The sequence below is a fragment of the Homo sapiens genome, chromosome 6 (genome assembly GCF_000001405.40).
Source record: "Homo sapiens chromosome 6, GRCh38.p14 Primary Assembly".
NCBI lineage: Eukaryota > Metazoa > Chordata > Mammalia > Primates > Hominidae > Homo > Homo sapiens.
This window is the reverse complement of record NC_000006.12, coordinates 73,320,381-73,345,240: the sequence shown is the minus strand read 5'-3', so window position 1 is coordinate 73,345,240 and position 24,860 is coordinate 73,320,381. Positions and strand designations below refer to the sequence as shown.

The following is a 24,860-nucleotide window of genomic DNA, read 5'->3' as shown; positions in this document are numbered from 1 at the left end:
CCTCTCTACTAAAAAATACAAAATTAGCCGGGCATGGTGGCACATGCCTGTAATCCCAGCTACTTGGGAGGCTGAGGCAGGAGAATTGCTTGAACCCAGGAGGCAGAGGTTGCGGTGAGCTGAGATAGCGCCATTGCACTCCAGCCAGGGCAACAAGAGCAAAACTCCATCTCAAAAAAATTCAGGAAGTATATCTTTTTTCTTTTTTTTTTTTTCTTCAGAATCTTGCTCTGTCATCCAGGCTGGAGTGCAGTGGCTCAGTCTTGGCTCACTGCAACCTCCCTGTCTCCTGGTTCAAGTGATTCTCCTGCCTCAGTCTCCTGAGTAGCTGAGACTACAGGCACATGTCACCACACCCAACTAATTTTTGTATTTTTAGTAGAGACAGAGTTTTACCATGTTGGCCAGGCTGGTCTCAAATTCCTGACTTCAGCTAATCTGCCCACCTTGGCCTCCCAAAATGTTGGGATTACAGGCGTTGAGCCACCGCGCTCATCCTCAGTAAGTATATCATAACAGAACAATCAGCAAATGAAGAAATGCAAATAACCCACATGCTTCTGAGAGAAAGTATTCAGCCTCTAGCTTAGAAATGTACACCGACACAATTAAATGCATTTTTTCACCTGTGAGTTTGGCAGACATTTAAACCAATGCCATTTGGAAAAAGTTCCTGATATTCTGCATCTCAACACTACAATTCAAGATAACTTCTAGGAGACCAAGCACCGTGGTTCACGCCTGTAATCTCAGCACTTTCGGAGGCCGGGGAGAGCGGATCACTTGAGGTCTGGAGTTCAAGACCAGCCTGGCCAATATGGCAAAACCCCATCTCTACTAAAAATATGAAAATTAGCCAGGTGTGGTGGTGTATGCCTGTAGTCCCAGCTACTCGGGAGCCTGAGGCAGGAGAATCAGTTGAACCTGGGAAATGGGAGGTTGCAATGAGCTGAGATAATGAAAAAAACAAACAAACAAAAAAAAACAAAGACAAAAACAAAACGCCCAAAAAAACCAACCTTCTAGGAATTGTTTTATAAAGAATGTCCTTTGCAGCCTTATTTGTAATGGCTATCATATTTTGGTTTGAACATTTGGGAGGCTGAGGGCTAAAGCTAGGGCTGGTTCTCAGCCCACATGGTTCTGAAGGTCCCATTTCTAGTTTCTGAAGTGGTTCCTTTTTGTTCAAATACTTGTTGCATGGCCTAGGGGTGCTGCGTGTGAAAGAAAAAAATGTAGTTCACAGATCTCTGGGTTAGAGAGAAGGGCCAGGAGTGTGGGGAACTTTTTGAGGTAATTCTTGTTTCTTTAATTTTTACTCCAAAGAGAAACTTTTTAGTCTTTTGAATTCAGATATGATTATCTACCAGCAAGTCATTTGGTAATGTAAATAGGATTGAGGGGTCATGTCCTTCATGCAAAACTTCAGTATGTCCTGAAGAAGGGAAATTAGTTGTTTTATTTAACTAAAAGCAAGCTTACTAATTTTGAATTATTTTCTTTAACAGTAAGCATAATTTTTTAAGATAATGTCATAAGATGAATGAAGGAGGATTAGGGTGCAGTGAGAGAAGGCATCTGTCTAACATCTTGAAGGCTTTATCATCAACAAAAGATGAACTATTCTGTGATATTTTAGAAGGCAAAATAAGTTCTAGTGTTTGGAAGTTTGTGGATGCAGATTCTGGCTCAATGTGGAGAACTTTCTGACACAGCAGTTTAACAAATGTAATCTTGTGTGCAGGATATAAAGGGAGATACCACCTACTTGCATTTTTAAGGGGCTTTAGCTTAAAAGTGCCAAATATAGTTAGTACAAAAATTAGTGCAAAAATACAGTGAGTACAAAATTCCTCATGATTAGTCATAGCTAGATATTTCTCTAAAAGTTGAACATGATATGAATTAATTTGCCTGCATTTAATGCCTAGGTTTTGGAATAATATATATCTCCAACAGTCAGCTGTAGTGCCAGACCCCTATTAACTTCAGTAAGGATGGCACCAGGTTCAAGAAGTCAAAGAAGAGACCTGGAGCCAGTGGAGGAGACATAGGGTTTTATTAGGGGGAACTTATAGACAGGGACAGTCCAGTGACAGTGGACTGGACAGGAGAACAACAACCATTTGCAAAAAGCATGCCGTTTATATAGCTTCTTCATTTAGCACCCACCTGGCAGCAAGTGCTACATGGCAACTTTCATTTCTTAAGTTACTGCTCTCAGGTTTGTCTGCCATACAACATATATCACAGTTATTGCTTTCAGGTGCATCTATCATCTATCAGCCCAGTGGGATATTCACACTTTGGGTAGCTGAAAGGAATTCTCGCTGATCTTTGGATCAGTTAAATTTATATACAGTGGGCCAGGTGCGGTGGCTCATGCCTGTAATCCCAGCACTTTGGGAGGCCAAGGCGGGCGGATCACCTGAGGTTGGGAGTTCGAGACCAGCCTGCCTAACATGGCAAAACCCCATCTCTACTAAAAATACAAAAAATTAGCCAGGTGTGGTGGCGGGCACCTGTAATCCCAGCTACTTGGGAGGCGGAGGTTGCAGTGAGCTGAGATCATGCCATTCCACTCCAGCCTGGGTGACAAGAGCAAAACTCCATCTCAACAATAACAACAACAACAATTTGTATACAGTGAAACTCCAGTGTGTGTATGTATGTGTGGGAAACATTCTTATTCTTGGCAAGATATATAAGAAAATTTATTGTATTGGCAGATTGGATGAGGAGTTAACACGTGAAGATGGTCTTCCCTTCATTCCATATGATATTGAGTCCCTCCTTATGCCCACATATTTGAATATGGATTGCTATGGTAAGGTCTGAAAGATCAAACATCTACACTTACCGTAGCGCAGCATCAGCTCCCTTCCCTTCCCTTCCCTTCCCTTCCCTTCCCTTCCCTTCCCTTCCCTTCCCTTCCCTCCCCTCCCCTCCCCTCCCCTTCCCTCTCTTTTCCGTTCTTTCTTGCTTGCTTGCTTGCTTTCTCTCTCTCTCTTTCTTTTTCTTTTTTTCTTTTTTTTTTTTGACGGAGTTTTGCCCTTTTGCCCAGGCTGGAGTCAAGTGGTGTGATCTTGGCTCACTGCAAGCTCTGCCTCCTGGGTTCAAGTGATCTCCTGCCTCAGTCTCCTGAGTAGCTGGGATTATAGGCACCCGCCACCATGCCCGGCTAACTTTTGTATTTTTAGTAGAGATGGGGTTTTACCATGTTGGCCAGGCTGGTCTCGACCTCCTGACCTCAGGTGATACACCCACCTCAGCCTCCCAAAGTGCTAGGATTACAGATGTGAGCCACCGTACCCGGCTTTTTTTTTTTTTTTTTTTTTTTTGGTGAGACAGAGTCTCACTCTGTCCCCAGGCTGGAGTGCAGTGGCAAGATCTCAGCTCACCGCAACCCCTGCCTCCTGGATTCAAGCGATTCTCCTGCCTCAGCCTCGTGAGTAGTTGGGACTAGGCATAGGTTGCCAGGCCCAGCTAATTTTTGTATTTTTAGTAGAGATGGGGTTTCACCATGCTGGCCAGGCTGGTGTCAAACTCCTTACCTCAAATGATCTGCCTGCTTTGGCCTCCCAAAGTCCTGGGATTACAGGTGTGAGCCTCTGAGTCTGGCCTAGCATTCACTCTTAAAGTCAAATGTGCAATAATAGTAATTGCTAACCATGTTCCTCTATAGCTGTACAATTAACTAAGCACTTCCTCTTCCATGTCTCCATTAATAGACACAACATCACTATTGTTATGCCCATTTTATCAGTGAGAAAACTGAAGTTGAGGAAGTTAAGGGTCCTAATACCGTCATTCTCAAAGTGGCCCCTTGACCAGCATCATCTGAGGACTTGTTAGAAACACAGATTCTCAGGCCAGGCATGGTGGCTCCCACCTGTAATCCCAGCACTTTGGAAAGACCTCACTTGAGGTTAGGAGTTAGAGACCAGCTTGGTCAACATGGTGAAACCCTGTCTCTACCACAAATAAAAAAATTTGCCAGGCATGGTAGCAGGCACCTATAATCTCAGCTACTCAGGAGGCTGAGGCAGGAGAATTGCTTGAACCTGGGAGGCAGAGGCTGCAGTGAGGCAGATTGCTCCACTTCACTCCAGCCAGGCAACAGAGTGAGACAACGTCTCAAAAACAAAACAAAACAAAACAAAAAAACAAAAATTCAGATTCTCAGATCCACCTCAGACCTACTGAGTCAGAAATTCTTGGGTGGGTCCTAGTAACCCATGGTTTAACAGGTCCTCCAGGTGATTCTGATGCACACTAAAGATTGAGAGCCACTGGCTTAAAAATAAGTGAATTCAGTTAATGTGACTCTTGCCTCCTTTCTACCTTGGAGGTTAAGAGAACACAAGAAGTGTTCTACATTCATCAGCATAGGTCTTGTTTTTTTTTTTTTTTTTGAGACAAGGTCTTACCCTGTCGCCCAGGCTGGAGTGCAGTAGCTTGGTGTCGGCTCACTGCAACCTCTGCCTTCCAGGTTCAAGCGATTCTTCTGCCTCAGCCTCCCTAGTAGCTGGGATTACAGGCACCCACCACCACGCCCAGCTAAGTTTTGTATTTTTAGTAGAGATGGGGTTTCACCATGTTGGGCAGGCTGGTCTTGAACTCCTGACCTCAGGTGATCCACCTGCCTTGGCCTCCCAAAGTGCTGGGATTATGTGCTTGAGCCACCGCACCTGCCCAGGTCTTGTTTAAATGATACAAACATGAATCTAATAAGGAAAAGAATTGCTCTGGGTTGTGTTTGTGGAGAAGGGGAGCTTTCTTTGCTTGTTCTATCTACAAGGAAGTGGCTGAGCATTATGAAAACTTAGTAGCTGTATGTCCTTAGATACACTCTTTGTGTTTTTGTTTCTCCATCTGAAAATAAGGGTAATAATTGTAGTACCTCCTGAAGTTGTGAAGATCAAAGGAGTTAATATGTTAAAGGCTTAGAAAGGCATCTGGCAGGTGGTTAAGCACTCAAACACAGTCATGCACTGCCGTGTAAGGATGATTCAGTCAATGATGGAATGCATACAATTGCCTACAGTATTCAGTATGATAACATGCTGTAAAGGTTTGTAGACTAGGAGCAATAGGCTACACCGTATAGACTGGGTTGTAGCAGTTTATACCATCTAAGTTTATGTTAGTATACTCTATGATGTTCACAAAATTACAAAATGGCCTAGTGACACGTTAAACAAGTTTTGTTTTTGTATCTAATAGGTATTACCAGTGTAACTAGTTTTTATTGAGTTGGATTTGGCTCAGTGCATGCAAAAAAACAAAACAAAACAAAACAAATCTCACTATTCACCATTCAATTTGCTCAGTCAAATTACTCTTCCACATCTCCTAAATGAAATCTCAACGAGGTTTCACAGCCTTTTTTGTGTGTGTGTGTAGGGGTAGGGGGTGTGGGGTTCACTTTCAGAAACGAAAATGTCCAGCACAGTTTCATATCAGCCAGGGGATAGAGGGCATCATAAATGACCACTCAATCTGAGGTCTCTTCACTCTTGATGGTAACCTGCTGTTAGAGGGCCCTGGTAGAGGGATCTCTGAAGACCTCCTAAGAGGACTGCAAAAGCTGGAGTGGATGTATGCTCTCCTTGGAATTCTTTGGGCTGACTTCTTCTCAGGATGACTCACGCTGGCTCTCTTCTCTAGGCCATGCACTTTTGCCCACCGGCAGGGGAAGCACCGCCTATTCCACTCTAGTCACCTCCCCTTGCTTTGCCACTGGGGCAGCTGGCCAGCCTTTTGCCTGTAGACTATTTCAGGTATCAGCTATTTACTAGACTCTGTGATCCATCAATTCTAGAGGACACAGAACAAAATATCTTGGTAGTTCTGAAGACCCCTCTCTTAGCTTGGGAGGAGGTTGGGGAAGTATCCCTTGCCTCTCTCATGGGAGTGAACACAATCTTTCTAAAGAAATCCTTACTGTCTCATTAAAATTTTAGCCTTCTGTACATAGACTGGAGTTGGGTGATGGGCTAATGCTGGTAGAGCTGGATTTTTGCCAAGCAAGCCCTTTGCAAGCCCTCCATCGATGCTCTAGCTTCCTCTAATAGAATGTGTGGGTATTTGGATCTATTTTTCTTAGATTTGGGGCCTCAGGCTAAACTACAAAGAGCTCTATTTTAACATTCTATTACAGGGCTTTTATAGGAATATTTTTTATTGTTATTTGGTACTTTGTAGATATTACTAAGATCTTTTACTGTCCCAGAGGATTTTGTGTATGGAGAGGAATATTGGCTATTTGTACTTTACTTCATCCCCAATTTACTATTATAAATCCTTTAATTTGTGCCTGCCAGGGGGAGACATGGTAAGTCATCATTTTAAAAATGTTAGCTTTTTTTTTTTTTTCGAGACAGTTTCGCTCTTGTTGCCCAGGCTGGAGTACAATGATGCGATCCCAGCTCACTGCAACCTCCGCCTCCCGGGTTCAAGCGATTGTCCTGCCTCAGCCTCCTAAGTAGCTGGGAATTCAGACATGAGCCACCACACTGGGCTAATTTTTTTTTTGTTTTTGAGACGAAGTTTCGCTCTGTCACCCAGGCTGGAGTGCAATGGCGTGATATCGACTCACTGCAACCTCTGCCTCCTGGGTTCAAGCGATTCTCCTGCCTCAGCCTTCTGAGTAGCTGGGATTACAGACACCCGCCACCATGCCTGGCTAATATTTGTATTTTTAGTAGAGATGGGGTTTCACCATGTTTGTCAGGCTGGTCTCAAACTCCTGACCCCAAGTGATCCACCTGCCTCAGCTTCCCAAAGTGCTGGGATTATAGGTGTGAGCCATCGTGGCCAGCCAAAAATGATAGCTTTTCTAACAGATATGTACGGGTATCTAGTTGTTTATTTATTTTGTTTTGCTTTTGAGCATTTTCAACAGATTTACTGAGGTATAATTGATGAAATAAATCACACATATTTAAAGTGTACAATTTGATGAATTTTGACTATCGATATATATACACATATACCCATGAAACCATCACCACGATCAAGAGAATGTGCCCTGGGGCTGGGAGCCGTGGCTCATGCCTGTAATCCCAGCACTTTGGGAGGCCAAGGCGGGCAGATCGCCTGAAGTTGGGAGTTCGAGACCAGCCTGACCAACATGGGGAAACCCTCTCTGTATTAAAAACACAAAAAATTAGCCAGGCGTGGTGGTGCATGCCTGTAATCCCAGCTACTCAAGAGGCTGAGGCAGGAGAATCGCTTGAACCCAGGAGGTGGAGGTTGCGGTGACCTGAGATTGTGCCATGGCACTCAAGCCTGGGCAACAAGAGTGAAACTCCGTCTCAAAAAAAAAAAAAAAAGCACATTCAGCAGCTTTGGAGAAGCCTAGAGGAGCCCTTATTAGTTTCCCTCAAGGACATGCCGAAAACTCCTGCCACCATATTGACAAGGACACTACCTATCTGGAGAATCACATTTCGGTTTAGGGAATTTTTTTTTTCTTTGGTGATGGGGTTTTTGTTCCTGTTGCCTAGGCTGGAGTGCAATGGCACAATCTCAGCTCACTGCAACCTCCACTTCCTGGGTTCAAGTGATTCTCCTGCCTCAGCCTCCTTCCTGAGTAGCTGGGATTGCAAGCGCTCACCAACACACCCGTCTAATTTGTTTGTGTTTTTAGTAGAGATGGGGTTTCACCATGTTGGCCAGGCTGGTCTGGAACTCCTTACCTCAGACGATCCGCCTGCCTCAGCCTCCCAAAGTGCTGAGATTACAGGCGTGAGCCACCGTGCCTGACCTGGCCTAGGGGATATTGACTGGGAGGAAAGAGGCACTTGTATAAAACACTTGTTTCTTGTTCAGAGCACCATATATATTTTGATGCCTTCCTATCTTTTTTTGAAAATAAAACACACACACAACACACACACACACACCCCTAGTTATAAGGATCATCCCCACCATCAGAAATCAACAACTTAAAAAACTTGATGCACTTACATATTTGCTTTCCTGTTTATGGGATGATCATTTAATTATTCTTGTAAAGTTGAGTTAATGCAGTGTAACACATTTCAAGCAGAACAGAAAAGTATAAAGATGAAGGTAGAAACAGCACCCATCCCATTACTACTAGAAATTGTTACCACTAACATGTGAACATTATTGAAATTAGTTTTACTTGAATTTTATAGATGAAAGAAAAACTGGGGTGAAATTGAAGAAAATATTGAACTTCAAATAAGCATTTTTCATCACAAATGATATTAGTTCTTAAATTATTTCTTTAAGGTTAAAAAAGGTTTATAAGAAAGACTAAGCGACTGGTGAGGCAGCTCATGCCTGTAATCCCAGCACTTTGGGAGGCTAAACTGGGAGGATCACTTGAGTTCCTCCTCATATTTTTTTTTTTTTTTTTTTTGAGATGGAGTCTCGCTCTGTTGCCCAGGCTGGAGTGCAGTGGTGCGATCTCGTCTCACTGCAGCCTCTGCCCCCTGGGTTCAAGTGATTCTCTGCCTCAGCCTCCCAAGTAGCTGGGATTACAGGTGCCCGCCACCACGCCCGGCTAATTTAGTCGGGTGGGGTTTCACCATCTTAGCCAGGCTGGTCTTGAACTCCTGACCTTGTGATCCCCCTGACTTGGCCTCCCGAAGTGCTAGGATTACAGGTGTGAGCCACCGCTCCTGGCGAGTTCTTCCTCATTTTGAACTCCTGGGCTCAAGCCATCCTTCCACCTTGGCCTCCCAAAGTACTGGGATTATAGGCGTGAGCCACCACGCCCAGCCACCTTCCATATTTCGATGAATTTCTTAGTTTGTTGTGTTTTGATGTCAAAACAATTAAACTTTTTATTTGGAAATAATTCCATACTCACAGATAAAATAATACAAAGAACTTCCATATACCCTTATAAACATTTCACAACATATATTTTCTCACTCATATTTCTCTTCCTTTCTCTCATACACATACATATGTAATATATTATTATTTTTTGGAACCATCTGAGAGTAGGTTGACTATATTATGTCCATTTATCCCTCAATACTTCAGTATGTATCTCTTTTTTTTTTTTTTTTTTTTGAGACGGAGTCTTGCTCTGTCGCCCAGGCTGGAGTGCAGTGGCGCGATCTCGGCTCACTGCAAGCTCCGTCTCCCAGGTTCATGCCATTCTCCTGCCTCAGCCTCCCGAGTAGCTGGGACTACAGGCCTCCGCCATCATACCCGGCTATTTTTTTTGTATTTTTTAGTAGAGACGGGGTTTCACCGTGTTAGCCAGGATGGTCTCGATCTCCTGACCTAGTGATCTGTCCGCCTCGGCCTCCCAAAGTGCTGGGATTACAGGAGTGAGCCACTGCGCCCGGCCTAATACTTCAGTATGTATTTCTTAAGAACAAGGATCATCTCTTACATAAGTATAGCACAGTTACCAGATTCAGGACATTTATTTATGTATTTATTTATTTTTTGAGATGGAGTTTCACGCTGTCACCCAGGCAGGAGTGCAGTGGCGCGATCTCGGCTCACTGCAATGTCTGTCTCCTGGGTTCAAGCGATTCTCCTGCCTCAGCCTCCTGAGTAGCTGGGACTACAGGCACGTGCAACCATGCCTGGCTAATTTTTTGTATTTTGTTTTTTCAGTAGAGAAGGGGTTTCACTGTGTTAGCCAGGATGGTCTCAATCTCCTGACCTCGTGATCCACCCGCCTCGGCCTCCCATAGTGCTGGGATTACAGGCGTGAGCCACTGCACCCGGCCAGCCTTGTCTAGTTTCTTCACTGTCTAGTTATCTTTTTTTTTTCTTTTTGAGACAAGGTCTTGCTATGGCATCCAGGCTGGATGCGGTGGTGCAATCCATGGCTCACTGCAACGTTGACCTGCTGGGCTCAAGCAATCTCCTCCTATCTCAGCCTCCCGAGTAGCTGGGACTACAGGTGCGCACCATCACGCCTGACTAAAAAAATTTTTTTGCAGAGACATGGTCTCACTATGTTGCCCAGGCTGGTCTCAAACTCCTGAGCTCAGGTGATGCGCCTACCTCAGCCTCCCAAAGTTCTGGGATTACAAGTGTGAGCCACTGTGCCTGGCCTTGTTAAAATATTGTATGGCTCTGTGTATGTATATGATTAACATTTACACAGATGTTACTGTCTTATATATTTAATTCTTTTTTTTTTTTTTTTTGAGACGGATTCTTGCTCTGTTGCCCAGGCTGGAGTGCAGTGGCATGATCTCAGCTCATTGCAGCCTCAACCTCCCAGGCTCAAGCGATTCTCCCACCTCAGCCTCCTGGGTGGCTGGGATTACAGGTGTACGCCAGCATACTCAGCTAATTTTTGATATTTTGTAGAGAGGGGATTTCACCATGTTGGCCAGGCTTATCTCAAATGCCTGGGCTCAAATGGTGCTCCAGCTTTGGCCTCCCAAAGTGCTAGGATTACAGGGTGAGCCTCCATGCCTGGCTGATTTAATTCTTTCTTACTTTTAAAATATAATACCACCCCCTTAAGCCCTCTATATATTTCTGTGTGTATCTTTATTTCTTCTAATAGCTGCTTTGTGGTCCAAAGCACACATTACATTATTTCTTTCTTTCTTTTTTTATTTGAGATGGAGTCTCGCTTTGTTGCCCAGGCTGGAGTGCAGTGGCACAATCTCGGCTCACTGCAAGCTCCGCCTCCCGGGTTCATGCCATTCTCCTGCCTCAGCCTCCCAAGTAGCTGGGACTAAAGGCGCCAGCCACCACGCCTGGCTAATTTTTTTGTATTTTTAGTAGAGACGGGGTTTCACCGTGTTAGCCAGGATGGTCTCGATCTCCTGACCTCGTGATCTGCCTGCCTTGGCCTCCCAAAGTGCTGAGATTACAGGCGTGAGCCACTGCGCCTGGAGATTTATTTCTTTATTTTATTTATTTATTTGTTTATTTTGAGATGGAGTCTCACTGCGTCGCCCAGGCTGGAGTGCAGTGGCAGGATCTTGGCTCAGTGCAACCTCCGCCTCCCCGGTTCAAGCGATTCTCCTGGCTCAGCCTCCTGAGTACTGGGGCTACAGGCACGCGCCACCATGTCCGGCTAATTTTTGTATTTTTTAGTAAAGACGGGGTTTCGCCATATTGGCCAGGTTGGTCTCGAACTCCTGACCTTGTGGTCTACCTGGCTTGGCCTCCCAAAGTGCTGGGATTACAGGTGTGAGCCACTGGGCCCGGAATATTTATTTTTTTGAGACAGTCTTGCTCTGTTACCCAGGCTGGAGTGCAGTGGTGCGATCTTGGCTCACTGCAACATCCAACACCTAGGTTCAAGTGATTCTCTTGCCTCAGCCTCCCAGGTAGCTGGGACTATAGGCACACACCAGCAAGCCTGGCTAATTTTTGTATTTTTTAGTAGAGATGGGTTTTCACCATGTGGACCAGGCAGGTCTTGAACTCCTAACCTCAAGTGATCTACCACTGTTGGCCTCCCAAAGTGCTGGGACTACAGGTGTGAGCCATCATGCCTGGCCAACATTACATATTTTACTGATACTTCACCCTAGTGTTAGATATTTAGATTGCTTTTAGTTCCCTACTTCTACAAACTGCTGTGATGAGTATCCTCTATGGGCACATGGGGAAATTTCTCAGATAATTTTCTCGGAGTGTGCTTTCTGTGATGTAGGATATGTTTATGGTTTTCATAACCAATTTTACTAAATATGAGTACATTGAGCACCAGAATGTCTGTACCAGTCTTCGTTTCTGCCAAAAATGCATTGTGTCAGTTTCTTCCCATTCTCAAAATTTTCATATACCCAGTTTTTTTGGTCAGACTGTATGAATAAAATAGTATCTTATTTTGTTATTTTTCACTCTTTTTATCACCCCCATTTAAATTTGGTGCCAAGAACTGAGGCAATTGCAGGAGTTGCTGATGGCCTCGCAAATCTTAACCCTGTCACTTGGGTTAAGACCATCGGAAGTACTACGATTGTAAATCTCATATTAATCCTTGTGTGCCTGTTTTGTCTGTTGTGGCTCTTGCACAGATTTTTCTTGCGTTGCCTTTTCTTTTCCGTATCTACTACCACTTTCTTAGGTCAGGCTCTTAACACTCATTTTGAATTCAGCAATTGATGTTTTGATCTAACTGTTTTCTCTGCCTCCATATTTAGCCCCATCATAACTCTATTTCACATTGCCACCAAATCTGATTGTGAAATCCCCTTAAATCATTCAGTGGCACTGACATCCGAGCCTTACAGGATAAAATCTAACCTCCTCAGCATCACGCTATATTGAAATTATTTAAATACCCACTTACCTTCCAATGGCTGGAAAGCACAGAGACAGGAACCCTGTCTAATCATTTTTGCAGCCTGGCACATAACATGATTTCTCTCAAAAGCATTCACTTTATCTCTTGAACTGAATCCTTGCTCTTTTTCTTCTTGCCTGCTTTGTGCTTCCACCACATCCACTCTGCTGGCCTGGGCCATCTTGCTGGTGTCCTTTTCAAGACAACAAACGATGGCTCCAATCTGGTCCACAGGAAGCAGCTGCCTTTGCTCCTCTTTTCATGGACGTGTAACCTCTTCTCACTGAAGACACTTCTTGCTTGTGGGAGCTAGGGTAGCTGGCCAGCCTCTTGCCTTAGGACTAGTTAGGCATGGGTCAGTTACCAGCCTCCCCATTCCCAAATTCTAGAGGACACAGGGCAAGCTCTCTGAGTGGTACTTCTGAAGCTCTCTACACTTGTCTTTATCAAATCTCTACCAGTGATCAAGCTTCCCTTTTATACCCACAAGGTGGGCAATGGGCTGAAGCTTGTCTTACCTACTATCATTTTTTAAAAAATAGATTTGTGTGTGTGTGTGTGTGTGTGTGTGTTTGTTTTGTTTTGTTTTAGACTGAGTCTTGCTCCATCGCCCAGGCTGGAGTGCAGTGGTGCGATTTTGGCTCACTGCAACCTCTGCCTCCTGGGTTCAAGCGATTCTCCTGCCTCAGCCCCTTGAGTAGCTGGGATTACAGGCACTTGCCACCACGCCTGGCTAATTTTTATATTTTTAGTAGAGACATACCCAGCCAAGCTTTCATACTAAGTCTTGAAGTGAGATATTGTCAGTCCTCTGACTTTGGTTTTTCTGTGCCTTATTGTTGTAACCTGCATTTCCCAGCAGTTAGGTATATTATCTGATATACTTGTAAGTCATTTATTTTCCCTTTCTGTGAATTACCTAATCATGTTCTTTGGCCATTATTTTATGGGGATCCAGATCCTGTTTTTGTTTATTTGCAAGGATTCCTTCCATGGTTTACATATCAATGTCTTTTAGTTTAGTTGTGTGTGTGTGTGTGTGTGTGTGTGTGTGTGTGTCTGTGTGTATTACAAGTATCTTCTTCAAATCTGTCACCCATTTGTTAACTTTGTGATGTCAATTGTTGAAAAGAAATCCTTAAATATTAGGTATTTGGGAGATACTTATACAATTTAACTGAGCATCTTATATTTTACCTGCCAACCTTAACTATGAAGTTTTCCTTCCATTCCATATCCTCTTATTTTCATGGGTTTGCTATGAAGGATTGTTTCTGTTGTTGTGTTTTTCTACATGTTGTAAATAGCCAACTTTCTTCATTTTTAGTTAGGGACTAAGTCCATGGTAGAGAGATAATCAGCCAATTCTTTTTGGTCATCTTTTTCTTTTCTTTCTTCTTTCTCAAGATGGGGTCTTACTCTGTCACCCAGGCTGGCGTGCAGTGGCACAGTCATAGCTCACTATAGCTTTGAACTCCTGAGCAGAAGAGATTCTCTTGCCTCTACCTCCCAATTAGCTGGAACTGTAGGTACATGCCATCTCACTTGACTAATTTTTTATTTTATTTTTATTTTTATGAGAAGGAGTCTCAGTCTGTCACGCAGGCTGGAATGCAGTGGTGCAATCTCAGCTCACTGCAGCCTCCGCCTCCTGGGTTCAAATGATTCTTGTGTCTCAGCCTCCTGAATAGCTGGGAGGCGTGTGCCACCATGCCCAGCTAATTTTTTTTTTTTTTTGTATTTTTAGTAGAGATGAAGTTTTGCCATGTTAGTCAGGCTGGTCTTGAATTCCTGGCCTCAAGTGATCCCCCTGCCTCAGCCTCCCAAAGTGTTGGGATTACAGGTGTGAATCACCACTCCCGGCCAAAGATTGAACATCTGACCACAGGGTTTTTTTGTTGTTGTTTTTTGTTTTTTAATTTTCTAAATCCTTTTAGTTGTTCTGGACAAACCAGTATAAGATGGAAACTTAAGTAGTACACATGAGTTTTATAATTTATCCATCTCTGGCAGATAGCTAAACATAGCACATCAGAGCATAACACAATGTGAGGCAAATACAGTGTACAATGACATTTTCTTCTATTCTGGAGCTTACAATTCAACAGAGAAAGAATTACTTGTAGTCATTGTGGTCACAAAAGGTTTCATGGAGGCAGTGAAGATAAAGCTCTACTAATACATAGGTTTTAATTTTAAAAATGTAAGCCTTCAAAGAACTAAAGGTAGCAATGTGTGGCAGTCCAAAAATTATGAGGAAAATAAGTTCCCTTCATGGGTCATATCAGCAATTCTTTTTTTTTTTTTTTTCTGAGATGGAGTCTCGCTCTGTTGTCTGGGCTGGAGTGAAGTGGCACGACCTTGGCTCACTGCAACCTCTGCCTCCCAGATTCAAGCAATTCTCCTACCTCAGCCTCCTGAGTAGCTGGGATTACAGGCATGCACCACAACGCTTGGCTTATTTTTGTATTTTCTTTTCTTTTCTTTTTTTTTTTTTTTGAGACAGAGTCTCGCTCTGTCACCCAGGCTGGAGTGCAGTGGAGTGATCTCAGCTCACTGCAGCCTCCGCCTCCCGGGTTCAAGTGATTCTCCTCCCTCAGCCTCCTGAGTAGCTGGGACTACAGGTGCCCACCACCATGTCTGGCTAAATTTTTTTTTGTATTTTTAATAGAGATAGGGTTTCACCATGTTGGCCAGGATGGTCTCGATCTCTTGACCTTGTGATCTGCCTGCCTCGACCTCCCAAAGTGCTGGGATTACAGGTGTGAGCCACCACGCCCGGCCTATTTTTGTATTTTCAGTAGAGCTGGGGTTTCACCATGTTGGCCAGGCTGGTCTCGAACTCCTGACCTCAGGTGATCCACCCAACTTGGCCTCCCAAAGTGCTGAGATTACAGGTGTGAGCTACCATGCCCTGCCCACATCAGCAATTCTTAATTTACAAACCATGGATCGGCTTCAGGAGAACCCAAGAACCAGTGAAATCTGTTGGTAAATTTTATGTGTGCAATATTCTCCAGAGAGAGTCAACAGCATATATATTTTCAAAGAAGTCTGTGGTGCAAAATAGTTAAGAGTATATTATGTTAGAAGTCCTTGGGCAATCAACTTGGAAAAGGCTGGATTGAGAATGGGGACTGGTATAGATCAGGATAATGTTGAATTTGATCCTCACTTGAGGCTTTTGTACAGAGGATGAGAAACAGGGTAAACTCAAGGGATAATCAGAAATTAAAATCAATATGACTTGGTGATAGTGAGATATGAAAGGTCAGAGAAAAACATCAAAGATGAAATCAAGCTTCTGACTTGCAACAGTGAGTATACCGAAAGTTATAGGCTAGATGGAAGATTAATAAAATTGGGAGCACTCTGGTTTTTATGGGAATGGCCATGCGATGTACAGGGAGAAATGGACAGTTGAAAATAAGAATCTAGCCAGGCACAGTGGCTCACTCCTGTAATCCCAGCACTTTGGGAGGCTAAGGTGAGAGAACTACTTGAGTTCAGGAGCAGGAGGCAACCGTCAGCCAGGATTATGCCACTGCACTCCAGCCTGGGTGACAGTGAAACCCTGACTCAAAACAAACACCACCAAAAATCAAAAAAGAAACCAAGTCTAGAGGCACATGGCTGGGAATCAGTAATGCTAGTTTTAGCTGAGAGAGTTAAGATCATCCAATCAGTATTAAGGAAGAAACTCAATACTAGAGACCACCAATACTTAAGAAAAACGGGTAAAATCAGAGGAATGATAAAGACTGGCTGAAAAATGTTGGTGTCTAGCTCAAGAAACGATGGGTTAGGTGGTCATATTTATTAATATGGATCTAGGGAAGCATTCATTCACTAATAAATTTTACTTGTGTTCTCTAAAATAACCTTTTCATCTTGATTTTCCTGCAGCTAAATTAGAAATTTACAGTTTTCCCCCTAAAAAATGCAACGATGTTCTTTCTCATAAATTACATTATCTGATTTTCTTGTCAGCCAGCTTCAAGGAAATCCATGTGTTCAAAATGCCTGCTTGCAGTTTGCCCCATACCAAATGGTTGTTTAATCCAAATACTGAGCCGCAAACTGACCTAATCCTTCTGGAGAAAGGATGGTTGAACAGCCAAGACCACTAGGTACTCAAAGAGAGACCACATATCCTGAGCTCCCCAGTCTGGTGTGAGGGGAGGACAGCTGATAACTGGATATGCAGTGTTCCCAGACATCACTGGTCCCAAACCATTGCTTCTGCCTGCCACTGCCACAAGTACAACAGCAATGCCATCCCCTTCACACGCAGCTTTAATTTTTAGGGTTTCATTTGGTCCTCTATGTGTGGATAGTTCACATGGAGTGCCAACATTTCTACAGACCTTGATGTTTTCACAGTGACCAAGATCAGAAATAGAGCTCATCAATACTACAATTGTGCACTAACTTTCCGATTTCAAAAGCAACTTGACTCTCTCTGCAACCCACTCAAAGCTTTTCTTTTCTTTTCTTTTTCTTTTTCTTTTTTTTTTGAGATGGGGTCTCACTCTGTCGCCCAGGCTGGAGTGCAGTGAGGCGATCTTGGCTCGCTGCAAGCTCTGCCTCCCGGGTTCAAGTGATTCTCCTGCCTCAGCCTCCCGAGTAGCTGGGACTACAGACGTGCGCCACCTCGCCCAGCTAATTTTTGTATTTTTAGTAGAGACAGGGTTTCACCATGTTGGCCAGGCTGCTCTCGAGCTCCTGACCTTGGGTGATCTGCCTGCCTTGGCCTCCCAAAGTGCTGGGATTACAGGCATGAGTCACCGTGCCCGGCCTCAAAGCTTTTCTTTACCATTTGGAGCCCTTCAGGAGTTACTTCTTTGAGCTCCCAGTAAGACTGTTTGTCTTTCTGTTGGCTTCAATCTCGTAATGGCCAGTCTCCAGGAATCATCAGCAAGAACCATTTCTTTGGTGGTTATATCAACACCAAATTCAATCTTCATATCAACCAGGGTATAGTTCTGGGGTAACCAGGATTTCTCCAGTATTTCAAAAATAACCTGTGTAGCATGACTCATGATATCCCCTTCAGTTTGGCCTATAACAAGTCCAATAAAGCAAAATTTTGCAACAATCAACTGTTCCTCAGATCATTGTGGGTCATTATTGGCATCATCCTTGAAAAACATCTTCACTTTAGATGGATAAAACTTATATCCTTCCTTGACACTGGGATTTATTTCTTTCGAGAAACAAACCAGTTGCTATCCTGCAAACCCATTCAATTGGAACCACTTCACACTAGGGTGCAATGAAAGCTGTCTCTCCACATTTTCTGGTGAAAACAGTTTTAATACCTGCTTCCTGTAACAACTGAAAACCACCCTTCCAGGTGATTTTTTCTAGCTGCATTAACCACTGCAATTGGGTCCTTGGACTTCAGGAGGACTTTTCCTGGACCATCTAACAATCTGTAGACTTCTTTTGTTTTACCTTCATACAGTTTTTGTTTTGTTTTGAGACAGAGTCTCGCTCTCATTGCCCAGGCCGGAGTGCAATGCCACAATCTCGGCTCACTGCAACTTCTGCCTCCAGGGTTCCAGTGATTCTCTTGTCTCAGCCTCCCCAGTAGCTGGGACTACAGGTGCCCACCATCTTGCCCAGCTAATTTTTATTTATTTTTTTGAGACAGAGTTTTGCTTTTGTTGCGTAGGCTGGAGTGCAATGGCACAATCTTGGCTAACTGAAACCTCCTCCACCTTTCGGGTTCAAGTGATTCTCCTGCCTCAGCCTCCTGAGTAGCTGGAATTACAGGCGTCTGCCACCACGCTCGGCTAATTTTTGTATTTTTAGTAGAGACAGGGTTTCGCCATGTTGGCCAGGCTGGTCTTGAACTCCTGACCTCAGGTGATCCGCCCAGCTCGGCCTCACAAAGTGCTGGGATTACAGGCGTGAGCCACCACGCCTGGCCTCATACAGTTTTTTTTCATGTTCAGTACCTCAGGTGTCGCCATTATCCTGAGTGGGCTGAGGACTGCGACTGTGCTGGGAAGAGAGCAACCATACATACGTATTTTAACCTAGTGCCTGTCCTTTTAACAACATTTGGGTCCCCCTCTATCTCCCTATTTTCTGTTAAGATGTCTCACATTTTTGCAAATTTGGTAAAATTCCTCATTTCAGGGGGTTAATCCCATTTTTGGCCACTAGGTAGAGCTAGAATCTTATTTATGGTGATTCTTAAGCTTGCTGTTTTTCAGTGTCTTATTTAGGAGGCAAAGAAGCCTTTGTCTTAGAATTTTTAGGACACTTTTTCAGAGCAGTCTTCATCATAAACTCCTCCAGAGATCATCAAATACATAAAAGGAAAAGAGAAAAGGGAAGAACTTCCAAGTTCATTTACCAATCATCTTTCAGCATAATAACCATCATTTACATAAGGACAAACTTCATTAACTGTGGGAGTCTGGGTACAGTCAGCCTCCTTCTGCAGTTGGTCTAAGATCCTTTAAGGTACTTTGTAGCCAAAGTCAAGAACACTTCATTTTCTTTACCAGGGCCTAAACTGATTGATTGCATCCTTATTTTATTTTGTTTTGTTTTATTTTATTTTATTTTGAGATGGAGTCTTGCTCTGTCACCCAGGCTGGAGTGCAGAGGCATGATCTTGGCTCTCTGCAACCTCCGCCTCCCGGGTTCAAGTGATTCTCCTGCCTCAGCCTCCTGAGTAGCTGGGATTACAGGTGTGCATCACCATTCCCTGCTAATTTTTGTATTTTTAGTAGAGACGGGGTTTCACCATGTTGGTCAGGCTGGTCTTGAACTCCTGACCCCATGATTTGCCTGCCTTGGCCTCCCAAAGTGCTGGGATTACAGGCGTGAGCCACTGCACCTGGCCAGAAGATAAAGATTTTGAAGAACATTTAATTTCCTCATTTCTCCTACCCTCTACCCTGTGGATTGTAAGTTGTAGAAGTTCTTTTTTGGAAGGGAATGGCTCAATACTTGAGTGCCGTGCTCTCCTAGTTGTCATTTATCAAACTATTATTCTCATATATAGGAAGAATTGTCACATTTTTTCTCATATGTAGGAAGAACAGCCATGAGTCAGCTTGCTGAGTCTGATTGGTCCAAGGGCTTCCTGGCACACTGAACCCCAGCCATGCGGAACTCCAGCTCTGTAGAAGAGGAGCAGCTATCACAGCAGTTTGAGTAATTGCAGACAAAGGTGAAGCAAGAAGAGAACAATATCAACAACTAGCAATGATAAAAAAAACAACCTAAATTTACCTGGAACTTTTTTTTCTTCTTTTTTTTTCATGGAGTTTCGCTCTCATTGTCCAGGCTAGAGTGCAATGGCACTATCTTGGCTCACTGTAACCTCCGCCTCCCATGTTCAAGCGATTCTCTTGCCTCAGCCTCCCGAGTAGCTGGGATTACAGGTGCCCACCACCACGCCCGGCTAATTTTTGTATTTTTAGTAGAGATGGGTTTTCGTCATGTTGGCCAGGCTGGTCTCGAACTCCTGACCTCAGGGGATCTGCCTGCCTCAGCCTCCCAAAGTGCTGGGATTACAGGCGTGAGCCACTGCGCCTGGCCTACCTGGCACCTTTATGAACCTGGGAAGTTTTGCAGTTTTATTCTCTGTTAAATGCATATCTGTTGAGCTTTTTCTGTTATTAAAATGTATTCCAAGATTTCTATTTTTTTTTTTTTTTTTGAGACGAAGTCTTGCTCTGTCACCCAGGCTGGAGTGCAATGGCGCGATCTCAGTTTACTGCAAACTCTGCCTCCCAGTTCAAGCAATTCTCCTGCCTCAACCTCCTGGGTAAGTGGGATTACAGGTGCCCACCACCATGCCCGGCTAATTTTTTTATTTTTAGTAGAGATGGGATTTCATCATGTTGGCCAGGCTGGCCTCAAACTCCTGATCTCAGGTAATCCACCCACCCTGGCCTCCCAAAATGCTTGGATTATAGGCATGAGCCACGGTGCCCAGGCTTAATGCTGTATTTTTTAATACACACACAGTAGAGAAGGATATAAGATGACAAGTAAAATACCCCTTCTTAACCTACTCTCAAGCTTTTTTCCTTTCCGTATCTGGCTATAGAATTTGAACTCATTCTTTTTTTTTTTTTTTTTTTTTGATATGGAGTCTTGCTCTGTCGCCCAGGCTGGAGTGCAGTGGCAATCTTGGCTCACTGCAAGCTCCACCTCCTGGGTTCACACCATTCTCCTGCCTCAGCCTCCCAAGTAGCTGGGACTACAGGTGCCCGCCACCATGCCCAGCTAATTTTTTTGTATTTTTAGTAGAGATGAGGTTTCGCTGTGTTAGCCAGGATGGTCTTGATCTCCTGATCTCATGATCCGCCTGCCTTGGCTTCCCAAAGTGCTGGGATTACAGGAGTGAGCCACCGCGCCCGGCAGAACTCATTCTTTTTTTAAAAAAAATTAATTATTTTTTTTTTACTTTCTATAACAAAATATTTCAGACAAAGATAGAGGGACCAGTGTAATGAACTTAATTTACCTATTATCTAGCTTCACCTGTTATCAATAATCTTGTTTTTATCATATTTCCCATATCCAGATTGAAGCAAATTCTAGACATCACATCATTTTTTAAAAATTAAAATTAAATTTATTATTATTATTGTTTTTATAGAGGTGAGGGTCTCACTATGTTGCCCAGGCTGGTCCCAAACTCCTGGGCTCAAGTAATCCTCCTATCTTGGCCACCCAAAGTGCTGGGATTATAGGCATGAGCCACTGCATCTGGCCCACATAATTTCATTTGTAAGTATTTTATAATTATTCAATTTTTATTAATAGATTTTAGGTTTTAGAAGTTCTTTTTAAGTTTGTTTACAACAAAATCTTTATTCAAAAGACTGTAAAAGGTTATAATTATTATAGTCGGACAAAGAGCAAATAAAGGCAAATAAAAAGTTCTCAGAATGTAGTTTCCTTCTTTTAAAATATGTAACTGTTTTCTTGGGATTCAATTGCACGTTTAAGTGTTTAGCCAGCCTGCTTCCATGCCCAGCAGTTAAGCCAGCACAGAAGGTCAAGTGTGAGCATGGTGGCTCATGCCTGTAATCCCAGCACTGTGGGAGGCTGAGGTGGGAGGATTGCTTGAGTCCAGGAGTTTGAGACCAGCCTGGGAAACTTAGTGGGACCCTATTTCTACATAAACTAAAAAAAAAAAAAAAAAAAAAAAAAAAAAAAGCACAGTGTGATAGCATGCGCCTATAATCCCAGCTACTCGGGAGGCTGAGGTGGGAGGATTGCTTGAGCCCTGAAATGCAAGGCTGCAGTGAGCTATGATCGGTTGCCTGTGGGCCCTGCCCAAGCCTCAGCCCAGCTAGGAGTATGAGGCTTTAAGGAGGCCTGTGTGTACAAATGACAGACTCACACCATCTGATGTCCACCCATCTGGAATACATCCCCTCAACAAAGCCTTGTCCTGGGGCAGCAGGCAGGCTGCAACCTGTCATTCAAGAGTGGCTGGCCTTTCCTGCAGGAGGGTGGGAGGGCCTAAGCTGCCCTCCTGTGGCTTCAGGCATCTGGGATGAAGTGGTCCATATGTGGTGGCGATGGGTCAGGGAAAACTTTTTGACTATGTGCTCATAGATCACAGTGGGGATGATGATCAGGGTGACAATGTTCCTGGCTGTGGCCAGAATCTCTGAGATCTCTTTCAGCCCAATGACACTCTGCACAGTGCTTGTTAAACGTTCTTGAACCTGGCACACATGGTGGTTGGTGAAGAGTCCTTGAGGACCACAGAGCTCCCTTTGACCACAGGGAAGACCTTTCCCTTCTTGATGATGAAGCCACCATGGCTTGTGCTGTCCTTGTGCATGGTGACAATCCACTGGACTATCCTGTCCTGAATGACCATAACAATCTTCTTGGCCAATTCCCTCTCACATCTGCCAGATGGGCTTTTTCCATGTTCCACTTGGCACAGTCATGCCCATCAATCTGTAGGATTTGGTCCCCAAAGCACAGCAGCATGAGGGATGCAGTGGTGTTGGCCTGGACCACCTCACCTGCACAAAGAGCCCCTTGTTGGTGGTCTGCAGCTGCAGCCCAGTCTTGCCATGTTTGTCTTTGCACAGGTGGATGTTGTGTACCTGGGCCTTGATCTCATACCACATGCCCAGGCTGTTCCTCCACCCCCTGGGCTGGCTAGGAAACTGAGACAGCAGTTTGCAGACACCAGGGGTGCAGGGGGTCAGCCTGGCCTATGGGACCTAGTGCTTCAGAGGTTACTGGGAAGCAGGGGTAAGGGTGGGGAAAGGAGGACAGAGCGGTTCCTGGGCCCAATTTCATTCTCAGACCACACACTTCACTGAAAAGTTTTAAATTAAAAAAAAAATTGAGCAGATAGTACCATTCCATACTACATAATCCCAGTTTCCCCTGTTAATGACATCCCATATTATTTATTTATTTTTTTTTGTCACCCAGGCTGGAGTGCAATGGTGTGATCTCCACTCACTACAACCTTCGTCTCCCGGGTTCAAGTGATTCTCCCACCTCAGCCTCCTGAGTAGCTGGTTCTACAGGCGCATGCCACCACACCTGGCTAATTTTTGTATTTTTAGTAGAGACGGGGTTTCACTATGTTGGCCAGGCTGGTCTTGAACTCCTGACCTCATGATCTGCCCGCCTTGGCCTCCCAAAGTGCTGGGATTACAGGCAGGAGCCACCACGCCTGGCCTAATAACATCCCATATTATTAAGTGTATCATATACATAGTTAACAAATACATTTCTTACAATTAAGAATCAATAGTGATAAAGTTCATACTTACTCAGATTTTCTTTTTTTCTTTCTTTCTTTTTTTTTTTTTTTTTTTTGAGATGGAGTTTTGCTCTTGTTGCCCAGGCTGGAGAGCAATGGTGCGATCTCGGCTCACTGCAACCTCTGGCTTCTGGGTTCAAGAGATTCTCCTGCCTCAGCCTCCCGAGTAGCTGGGATTACAGGCAGGTGCCACCACGCCCGGCTAATTTTTGTATTTTTAGTAGAGACGGGGTTTCTCCATGTTGGTCAGGCTGGTCTTGAACTCCCGACCTCAGGTGATCCACCTGCCTCGGCCTCCCAAAGTGCTGGGATTACAGATGTGAGCCACCACATACGGCCTGATTTTTTTCTTATGATTAGACTCAGATTTTAGATTTTTGGAGAGGAAGATCACAGAGATAAAGTACTGTTTTTCTTTTTTTGAGAGTCTTGCTGTGTCACCCAGGCTGGAGTGCAGTGGCATGATCTTGCTCACTGCAAGCTTCACCTCCTGGGTTCAAGCGATTCTTGTGCCTTAGCATCCTGAGTAGCTGGGACTACAGTTGTGCACCACCATGCTGGGCTAATTTTTTTTTTCTTTTTGAGACGGAGTCTCGCTCTGTCGCCCAGGCTGGAGTGCAGTGGCGGGATCTCGGCTCACTGCAAGCTCCGCCTCCCTGGTTCACGCCATTCTCCTGCCTCAGCCTCCTGAGTAGCTGGGACTACAGGCGCCAGCAACCATGCCCGTCTAATTTTTTTTGTATTTTTAGTAGAGACGGGATTTCATCGTGTTAGCCAGGATTGTCTCGATCTCCTGACCTCGTGATCCGCCCGCCTCGGCCTCCCAAAGGGCTGGGATTACAGGCGTGAGGCACTGCGCCCGGCCAACTGGGCTAATTCTTGTATTTTTGGTAGAGATGTGGTTTTACCATGTTGGCCAGGATGGTCTCAAACTCCTGGCCTCAAGCAATCTGCCCGTCTCAGTTTCGCAAAGTGCTAAGATTACAGGCGTGAGTCACTGCGCCTGGCCTAAAGTACCATTTTCATCACATCATATCAAGGGTGCACACTATCAGCATGTTGTATGACTGTTCACATTGATCACCTGGCTAAGGTAGCGTTTGTCAGGATTCTCCACTGTAAAGTTACTCTTCCCCACCCCTTCTCCATTCTGTATTCTTTTGAAGAAAATCAACAGGCACTGCCTACACTTAAGGAGTGAGGAGTTATGCTCTTCCTCTCTTAGGATGAAGTATCTACTTATTTACTTAAGATTTTTCTGCACAGGAGATTCATCTTTTCTTCATATATTAATTTGTGGATTTATTTATACTGATATGAACTCGTGGATATTCTTTTTTAAAAATGCACTTTCATTCTCAGATCGTTGATATTCATTTTACATTTTTGGTATAATCCAATACTTTATTTTTTAAATTATTCCAGGCTGGGCACGGTGGCTCACGCCTGTAATCCCAGCACTTTGGGAGGCTGAGGCGGGAGGATCCCAAGGTCAGGAGTTCGAGACCAGCCTGGCCAACATGGTGAAACCTGTCTCTACTAAAAATACAAAAATTAGCCAGGCATGGTGGTGGGCGCCTGTAGTCCCAGCTACTCAGGAGGCTGAGGCAGGAGAATCGCTTGAACGTGGGAGGTGGAGGTTGCAGTGAGCCGAGATCACACCACTGCACTCCAGCCTGGGTGACAGAATGAGACTCTGTCTCAAAAAAAAAAACAAAACAAAAACTTATTCCAGCTTTGGCTATTGAGAGCTTTTTCCGTTGCTTCTTTTGTTCCTTTGACATACCCCCATCACTCTTTTGTTTTTTTGAGACA

General features: G+C 44.2%; 2 pseudogenes, besides 1 other annotated feature; both read right to left on the bottom strand.

Moving 5' to 3' along the window:
• Positions 149 to 349: a silencer, noted in NCBI's record as "peak5896 fragment used in MPRA reporter construct". NCBI's record gives its function as "represses an SCP1 promoter by STARR-seq MPRAs in K562 erythroleukemia cells {active_cell/tissue: K562}" and the evidence as "EXISTENCE:reporter gene assay evidence [ECO:0000049][PMID:32103011]".
• Positions 14,181 to 18,286, bottom strand: PAICSP3 (phosphoribosylaminoimidazole carboxylase, phosphoribosylaminoimidazole succinocarboxamide synthetase pseudogene 3; annotated as a pseudogene).
• On the bottom strand, positions 21,791 to 22,404 carry SDCBP2P1 (syndecan binding protein 2 pseudogene 1; annotated as a pseudogene).